Here is a 9304-nt window from a genome sequence, read left to right as displayed (position 1 = left end):
CCCTAGGTAACTTCAGAATGAGGGCTAGTCACCAAGACATGATTAGAGGGTTAGGACTTTCAGCCCCACCCACAACCTCTGGGGCGAGGAGAAGGGCCGAAGGTCAAGTTGATCACCAATGGCCAATGGTTTAATCAATCAATCATGCCTACATAATAAAGCCTCCATAAAAATCTGAAAGGGCGGAGTTCAGAGAGCTTCTGGATAGCTGAACGCATGGAGGTTCCTGGAGGGTGGTACACTCAGAGAGGGCATGGAAGCTCCGTGCCCTTTCCCCCATGCCTTGACCTATGCATCTCTTCATCCGTATCCTTTGTAATACCCATTATAACTGATATGGTTGGGCTGTGTCCCCACCCAAATCTCAATTTGTAATAATCGCCACGTTTCATGGGAGGGACCTGGTAGGAGGTAATTGAATCATGGGGGCTGGTTTTTCCCATTCTGTTCTCATGATAATGAATAAGTCTCATGAGAGCTGATGGTTTTATAAAGGGCAGTTCCCCTGCACATGCTGTCTCTCTTGCCTGCCACCATGCAAGACATGTCTTGCTTCCCCTTCACTTTCTGCCATGATTGTGACACCTCCCCAGCCATGTGGAACTGAACCATGAGTCCATTAAACCTCTTTCCTTTATAGATTACCAAGTCTCAGGTATGTCTTTATTAGCAGCATGAAAACGAACTAATACAATAATAAACCAGTAAATGTTAAGTGTTTCCTTGAGTTCTGTAAGCTCTGCTCCAGTAAATTAATCACACACAAAAAGGGGTTCAGGGGATCCCTGACTTATAGACGGTCAGTCAGAAGCACAAATAAAACAACCTGGGGCTTTTGACTGGTATCATAAGTTAGGGGCAGTCACGTGGGACTGAGCCCTCAACCTGTGGCATCTGACGCTACCTCCAGGTAGGTAACATCAGAATTGAATTGGATTGGAGGGTACCCAGCTGGTGTCTGCTACAGAACTGACTGCTTGTTGGTGAGGAGAAATCCCCACAGAGTTGGTCACAGGAGTCTTCAGTGGTGATTATTGTTGAGTGAGAGAATTGAAAAAACACTTTGACTTTTTCAGTTTTTTTCTACTCACAATAAGGAAGGTAGCAGTACTGGGAGTCCTCCCAATAAGTATTTCACCAAGATAGAAAAGCATCAAGGAGGCCAGGTGTGGTGGTTCACACCTGTAATCCCAGCACTTTGGGAGGCCGAGGCAGGTGAATCACCTGAGGTCGGGAGTTCAAGACCAGCCTGGCCAACATGGTGAAACCCCATCTCTACTAAAAATACAAAAATTAGCTGGGCATGGTGGCACGTGCCTGTAATCCCAGCTACTTGGGAGGCTGAGACAGGAGAATCATTTGAACCGGGAGGCGGAGGTTGCAGTGAGCCAAGATCATGCCATTGCACTCTAGCCTTGGTGACAGAGTGAGACTCCATCTCAAAAAAAAAAAAAAAAAAAGAAAAGCATCAAGGATAGCAATTTTCAATCTTTCATATATGCTGTGAATCACCCAGGGATCTTGTTAAAATGCAGATTCTCTGGTTCAGTTGGTCCGAGGTTAGGCCTGAGAATCAGCATTTCTAATAAGCTCTCAGTGATGCTGATGCTTCTGGCTTAGGAATTATGTTTTGAGTAGCAGGATTTGAGGACATAGGAAGTACACAGTAGCTGAGCACAATGGCATGTACCTGTAGTCCCAGCTGCTGGAAAAGCTGTGGTGGAAGGATCACTTGAGCCCAGGAGTTCTGGGCTGTAGTGTGCTGTGCCCATGAAGTGCCCACACTAAGTTCAGCATCAATACAGTGACTTCCTGGGAGTGGGGCATCACAGGTTGCCTAAGGAGGGGCAAATGGGCCCAGATCAGAAATGAATCAGGTCAAAACTCCCATGCTGATCAGTAGCGGCATCACACCTGTAAATAACCACTGCCCTCCAGCGTAGGCAACATAATGGCATAGCCCTGTCTCTAAAATGAATAATAATAATAGTAATAATAAAAGGAAGGTCACAGTAAATGCTTGCTAAGGAATTAGCAATAGATAAATTGCTCAATGAACATACAAATGAATAAAATAGGGAGAAGGCACCCAGCTGGTGTCTGCTACTGCTGTAGCAAGATGAAAATGCTATTATCCGAGGCTAGACTGAGGTTAGAGACTATGCTTCCAGCCTCCTATATTTGACATTTATTCCTCCAACTGTTCTTTTTGATTTTGTTATCTCTCTCTCATCAGTGTCAGGGCAATGAGAAGATCAAAGTCACTATATCCGGTGTACCTCCTGAGCTTCAATGTCCATATCTGTAAAATGGGAATAATACTGTCTATCTTGCAGTTGTTGCAAAACTAAATGGCTCGTAAGAGGAATTTAAGAAATGGTTGCTACTGGATATTTTCAAATTAATTAACTTGAAGAGACAACAGATGCCTCTCCTCCACGTAGAAGGAACAGAGAAAAAAAACTGTTACTTATATCTATGTGCTAGCACTGTGCTAAGTGCCTGAATAAATTGTTGAATAAATTGTTTTATAAATTGTTTTGCTTGTAAAGCCTTTTGAAGTCCATAGTGTTATGTCAGTTTCACAGTTGGGGAAACTGAGCCTTAGTAAGAATAAGAGACTTTTTCATCTGAGGTCACAAGGCTGAGTAAGTGGCGGGGACCAGTTGTGTCTGATTCCAAAACCACACTCTTTCCCCACATCCTGCCTCTCCTCCATGCCCTAGTAGTGGGCAGCCTGCCCCTTTGAACACAGTCGTCCACAGTCAAAGGCTCTGGGTATTAGCTGTTAAGGCTCCAGTTCCGACCCACGTCCAGGGCTCATTCCTTGGCTGTGAAGCAGACAGCCTGTTTACATGACACAGGTCTGGGATGGCAAAGTCCTCAGTGCCTGTTTGTCTGTTTTTGCCTTCTCCCCTACTCAGACCTTTGGTGAGTCAGTTATGGTCAAATTCAGGGACAGTTTGTGCCGCGCTCACTCCAATTTATGGGGAAGGTGTCTTAAGCCCTGAAGTTCAGTGGGTGAAAGTGTCAAAGTAGACAGACAGATGACCTCTCACCTCCTTGCAGAAGGGAGGTGTTTGTTGAGCAAAGCATTCAAGAGCATCTTCTTCCCAAACAGGCCTGAATCACCAGCCCCATTTTCCAACCACAGATGTTTTCTCACTCATAGCCAGGTTCCAAGTGGGACAGGATCTGCTGGATTGAGCTCTAGAAGAGACAGAGAGGAAAGAAATGTGAATCTGACATGTTGTTTTCACCACTATAAACCCAGCTCCTTGGCCCATATCCCAGTCCTGCCTCAGAATTCCCCCTCCTACGGTAGAGACAGCTAACTGCTTCCCTTCCATAGTGTAGAACTGTCACTGGGAAGTAGCTGCCATGTCGGTGATTACATTTCCCAGCACCTCTTGCTTCTCGTGAGTGGTCATGTGACCACTTTACACCAATGAGCATAAGCGATGTGTCTCACTCCTGGTCCAAGGCATTCCTTCTCCAACCTGTCTTTTCACATCTTAGGTGAGAAAGAAGCCACAGGAAGAAGGAGGCAGGGTTTCTGACTCACCGTGTGAAAGGTTTCCTGGCAACCAGGAACATCCATATCAACAGCTTGGTGAGTGAAAAATAGTGTTTTATTACTTTAAGGTCACTGCAACTTTTGGACTTGTTCATTAGAGCAGCTACCATTGCTCTCATTAGTATACCCAGGATAGAGATAGGAGCATCGACGCTGACTGGACTCTCGGCACTGGGTGCAGTGCACTGTGCTCAGAACTTCATCACCATCATCTCATGGAACCTTCATGTAATTTTGGCGGTAATCACCCTCCCCATTGTAAACTACAGAAACCTTCGCTCCAGAATGTTAAATTATTTGTTCCAGATCACATGGTTAGGAAGTGGCAGACATAAGATTCAAACAAATTTCTGTCTGACAACAGTTGCAGGAAGTTCTCCCTTTTACACTCTGGTCTGAGTGACAGAGTGAGACCCTGCCTCCAAAAAAAATGAAGGAAGGAAGGAAGGAAGGAAAGAGAGAGAGAAAGGAAGAGAGAAAGAGAGGAAGAGAGAAAGAAAGAAAAGAAAAGGAAGGAAGGAAGGCAGAAATGAAGGAAGGAAGGAAGAAAAAGAGAAAGAGAAAGAAAGGAAGGAAGGAAGAAGGAAAGAAAGGAAAGAAAGAAAGAAAGAAAGAAAGAAAGAAAGAAAGAAAGAAAGAAAGAAAGGAAAAGAAAAGAAAAGAAAGAGAGAGAAAGAAAGACTGCCTAAACCCTCTCACCCAGGTGTGGTACAGACCCCAAAGAAATAGCAGCAGGTTTGGTTGAAGCACCTTTAGAGTAATCAATGTCTTTTTAAAGTGTGTCTTAAACTTGCTGTTGGCAAGTCATAGTGAAATAGAGTTCCAATAAATTTCCCAACTGGGGTGACTCAAAACTATTGAAATTAAATTTGCAAAGATGGTCACATTGCAAGATGTGAATTATGCTGTACTTAGATCCAGCTCACCGAGTACAACTTTAGAGGGCACCTATGACACTGGAGACAACCTTGTACTCAAGTGGAAACATAGTGAGCTTGGAGCAAGAAGCCAGGGCTCTGAGACCTAACACCATGGCTTACTGACTTTGTTACATGTAACTAAGACACACTGGTTACATGTCAAGACACAACATCTCAGAGATGCAGCACCCCGGTTTCTGAACAGGGGTTGGAGTGGAATGGGGAGGTGCTTCTCTATCTTTCTCCCAATGTTGTCAGATTTCCTTGTCTTTTTCATCTTTATGCTCAGACCTCAGCCTCTTTTTTTTTTTTTAATTTTACTTTAAGTTCTGGGATACACGTGCTAAACGTGCAGGTTTGTTACCTCGGTATTCATGTGCCATGGTGGTTTGCTGCACCTATCAACCCGTCATCTAGGTTTTAAGCTCTACTTGCATTAGGTATTTGTCCTGATGTTCTCCCTCCCCTTTCCCCCAACTCCCCGACAGGCCCCAGTATGTGATGTTCCCCTCCCTGTGTCCATGTGTTCTCATTGTTCAGCTCCCATTTATGAGTGAGAACATGTGGTGTTTGGTTTCCTGTTCCTGTGTTAGTTTGCTGGACCTCAGTCTCTTATACCTGAACTATTGCAACAGACCCTGGGAGTAGGGACAGTGTGGTACCAGAGCCACACACCCCTCCTCATTATATCCAGTGAGATCACACTCCTATTGAAACCCAAGAGTTCCCTTCTATCCTCAGGATAAATCCAAGCTCCTCAAATTGCCATTCAAAGTATTCTATGATACAACCTTGACCTTCATTTCTGTTGGATATACCATGACTCCAATTCTTCACCCTATACTGGATCCCATTGGCAAGTCCCACATTTCCCGGGTACCTTCCTGCCATTTCCTGACTTTAACTCCTCCAATGTGCTCTTATCCTAATTGTTATAAATTCAAACTCTACTCACCTTTCAAGGCTGATGTTGGTACAGCCACTTCTAGAAAGCCTGATGTTCACAACTACGATTTCCATTTCTCTCTTAAGAGCTCAGGCGGCAGGTTTTATTGGACTCTGATCCCTTTGAAACTTGTTGTTCATTATTTGATCCCATTTCTTATCTCCTCTCCCAGCTCCTTAGGAAAAAATGACTCCACCTCCTTCATCTTTTAAATTTTCCAGTACCTATAATGATTCTTGGTGCAAAGTCAGCCTTTGGTAAGTTTACTAAGTTAACTCAAAATCATGAGTCAAGGAAAGACTCAGAAAAGGCAGTTGATAAGAGGAGGTGTTAGAGGAAGCCATGCTGTAGTAACAAGTAAACCCTGACATTAATGACTTAACACAATAAAAGGTTACCTCTTACTCTCCTCACAGTCTTTCATGAGCTCGCAGCTTTGCTTAGCAGAGCTCTTCCAGTCAGTGTCAGAGGGATCCAGTCTCCTTCCATCCATTGAGGGAAGCACTCTACCATTCCAAGTGCTTTACTTGTAGCTGTACAGATAAAGCAGAGAAATCTTGGAAGACTGCACATGATATTTTATGGCCAAGTTGGAATTGGTGTACGTTCTTACTACTTGAAGTGTTGTCCATAAAACCAGCAGCACTGGTATTAACTAAGAGCTTATTGAAGTGCAGAATCATGGGCCTCACCCAAAACCTACTGAATCAGAATCTGCATTTCAACAAGATCCCTGAGTGATGGGATGACTCATTATACACACTGTAGCGTGAGAACCACTAGTGGACATCATTTCTGTGCACATTCCATTGGCAAGAACTCCAGCGCAAGCCCCAACCTAACTGCAAAGAAGGCTGGAGAATTTATCCCGTCCTAATACCTAGAAAGAGGACAAAATTTTGCCTGCCATAGACTGCCACAAGCAGCATTTAAAATGGAACAAATCCAGTTCCTCTTCCAAGTCAAGAAAGTCATACAACTCTAAACCTCATCTCCCTGCTATGCAATATCAGGGAGGTTGGAGTGTCTGTGCTGGCTGAATAAGGGACAGGCTGTTTCAAGATGGTGGACTGCAGCAGAAGGCAGGGACTTTAAATATGTATGTAAAGAGATGGAAGCCAGGTGAAAAGGCATATTAAACAACCTGTTAGCCAACAAAGTTGAAAGAACATTTAAACCATGTACTCTGAAGAAAAGAGCTCCCCTCTGCTCCCACCAATAAGTCATCCAACCAAGACATAGGCCTTAAGGAGACACAGAAGCAAAGCCAGACCAATGCACTGCTAATTTTCTGTGAAGTTTTTACCTGTTTGATCCAACTGTTTTCATTATTTCCAGTGGTCATTGTTCCTGGTTCTCATTAGTTGAAATTTTTTTTCATTATTCTGTGAGTATGTTTTTTTTCCAGAACACAAGGATTTGAGGTTCACATACTTTCATCTTTTCTTTATGATTGGTTAATTAACCAGCACTGAGTGGGGAGTAAGGAATAGAGGAAACTTTTAAAAATCCCTTTTCATGTAAATGTATAGGGCACTTAACAAGGAACTTGGAGGTCCTTGGTAATATTTGTACTTGATGGTGTTTTACTTGGAAAATATTGTTAACCCAGCTCTGATCTTAAGTTTTAAAGCATTTCAATAAAATAAAAAGAGAACACATTATATTTCATAATACAAATTAGCTTCATCTTGCATGTGCCAGGCATGGAAAAGAACAACCCTGAAGCGATCAAAATTTCCCCATTAGTACTGACCATCTAACTTTTATAGCAGACCATCACTTCTCCAAACAATGTTGTATGTTTGTTTTTAAACCACCGGGAAATAAATGATTTATAAACTCAATAAGAGAAGAAAACGAATGTATAAAAAATACATATCCCGGAAAGAATTTCTAGTGCCGAGTGTAAATTGGCACTTCATGTCTATTCATAAGATTTAAAATTAGGTGTCAATGTGGTGTTATATAATTCACTTGTGAGCTGCATGGGTGAATGGGTAATGTACATGTGTATGCCATCAGTCATGGGATAATTTCTGTGTTGTTAGAGGATCATATATCTTTTCTCTTTCTATTGCTGTCATTTGTGGCTAATGACACAACTGTCTTAGCCACAGTTAGAACTGTCTTAAAGAACTGTCTCTTTCCTCCATTGGCTTCAACAACTGGGGTGATGACTTCTAAACTTTCTCTCCAGAATCTACCTCACTCCTGAGCTCCTTACTTACATAACCAATTCAGTAGTGGACAGCTCTGTTTCCAGAGGACCTCAAATGTGCATGTGTTAAAAGTAACTGTCCATCTTCTCCCAAAACCTTTCATTCCTTCTTGTAGTATTCCTAAGAATGTAGGAATTCAAGTATTTGCTGAGGGAGATGAGGCATCATTCTTTCTTTTCCTCATTTTCATTTCCACAGAATTAATAGAACCCTTTATATACATTTATGTTTACCACATCCCACTCCCCCAAAAATCTTGAAGTAGCTATTTAAAAAATCTACAATACAATACAATGAAAACAGTCTTTAAAAGTAATGGGAATGGCAAAATTAAGTTAGAATAGTTGCATGAAGCCAGAGGAAGACTGATTCTCCCCAGGTAGAGTAGGAAGTTGGGACACAAATTAACTTGAGTTTTCCACAGGCTAAGTTGGAAACACTTATCAGGGATGTGTGATTCATAATGTCTGTCAGATTAAAAGAAATTCCAGCTGCTCAAGAGGAGCATGATTTTATTACATAACAAAAGCAGTGCCAGCAGAAGTGCGAGGTATGGACTTTCATACAAGATGACCTGGGTCAAATGAACCTCCTCGGCTGCATGCCTTGTCTATTTAACAATAAGATAGTTGACAATGGACTTAGGTAAACACCTTAATAATTTTTTTTTTTTTTTTGAGACAAGATCTCACTCTGTCATCCAGGCTGAAGTGCAGTGACATGATCTCGGCTCACTGCAACCTCTGCCTCCCAGGCTCGAGCAGTCCTCCCACCTCAGCCTCCAGAGTAGCTGAGCTGGGACTACAAGAATGTGCCACGATGCCCAGCTAATTTTTGTATTTTTTAGTAGATATGGGGTCTCACTACGTTGCCCAGGCTGATCGTGAACTCCTAAGCTCAAGTGATCCTCCCACCTTGGCCTCCCAAAGTCCAAGTATTACAGGCGTAAGCCACCATGCCAGCCCTTAGTGAATACCTTAGTTAACTTTCTCTTGAGGACTACCTGGAAAAGACAGTGGAGGTGGGCAAAGAACTACCTTACTTCCACTGTCTCTCCTACTTCTCTGAGTATGCAATTCTAGTGAGCATCCTAAAGTGAAATGTCAATCAAATATAAATCACGTTTACTGAATAAGGGTCCTCTGTGGTCTGCCTTCTGTCTCGTCTCCTGCCCCGTAACCACCACACCATCCACACTTGCTGTTCCTTTCACTGCTTATGTCTTGGCTGTTCCCCCTACAAAGCATACTCTTATACTGTTTCTCTGCCTCATATTCTTAGTCATCTTATGTAACCCAATACTCATTTCTTCTGTGAATCTTTCTCTGACTCCAGTATTGGAAGCTCTCTCCTTCAGGTTCCTACCCTCCATGTACATTTTTTTTGCCATAGCATTTGTTTATAGGGTATTAAGATTTCTTGTTTAGTGGCTGTTACCACATATAACAAGTAAATGTTTCTGTGGGTTGAGAAACTGTGAGTGTTGGTTACCTAGGTGCCACTGGCTCACGGTCTCTCATGAGGTTGCAGTCAAGGTGTGGGTTGGGGCAGTGGTGTCATCTGAAGACTCAGCTGGATGAGGATCTGCATTTGAGCTCACCACATATGGTTATTGGCAGGTCTTAGAAAACTCATTCCC

General features: G+C 42.8%; 1 long non-coding RNA gene and 1 pseudogene across 3 annotated transcripts in view; one reads left to right on the top strand and one right to left on the bottom strand.

Annotated features, from left to right (window-relative positions):
• Positions 1-628: 628 nt before the first annotated feature.
• The window catches only part of LOC105376208 (uncharacterized), a 78157-nt gene continuing 69481 nt past the window's right edge, over positions 629-9304 (bottom strand). Inside the window, exons 4-7 of one of the 3 annotated variants that reach the window (XR_930229.2) lie at positions 6750-6914; positions 5453-5976; positions 3060-3210; positions 1437-1837 (exon numbers count right to left, since the gene is read on the bottom strand). This is a non-coding gene — a long non-coding RNA (uncharacterized LOC105376208). Of the gene's footprint in view, positions 3211-5452; positions 5977-6749; positions 6915-9304 lie in introns of all 3 variants that reach the window. The other 2 variants (XR_007061720.1, XR_930228.2) reach the window with 2 other exon arrangements.
• RN7SL659P (RNA, 7SL, cytoplasmic 659, pseudogene) lies at positions 1670-1968 on the top strand (annotated as a pseudogene).

The sequence above is a fragment of the Homo sapiens genome, chromosome 9, assembly GCF_000001405.40.
Source record: "Homo sapiens chromosome 9, GRCh38.p14 Primary Assembly".
Classification (NCBI taxonomy): domain Eukaryota; kingdom Metazoa; phylum Chordata; class Mammalia; order Primates; family Hominidae; genus Homo; species Homo sapiens.
This window is presented reverse-complemented; position numbering and strand designations above follow the sequence as displayed.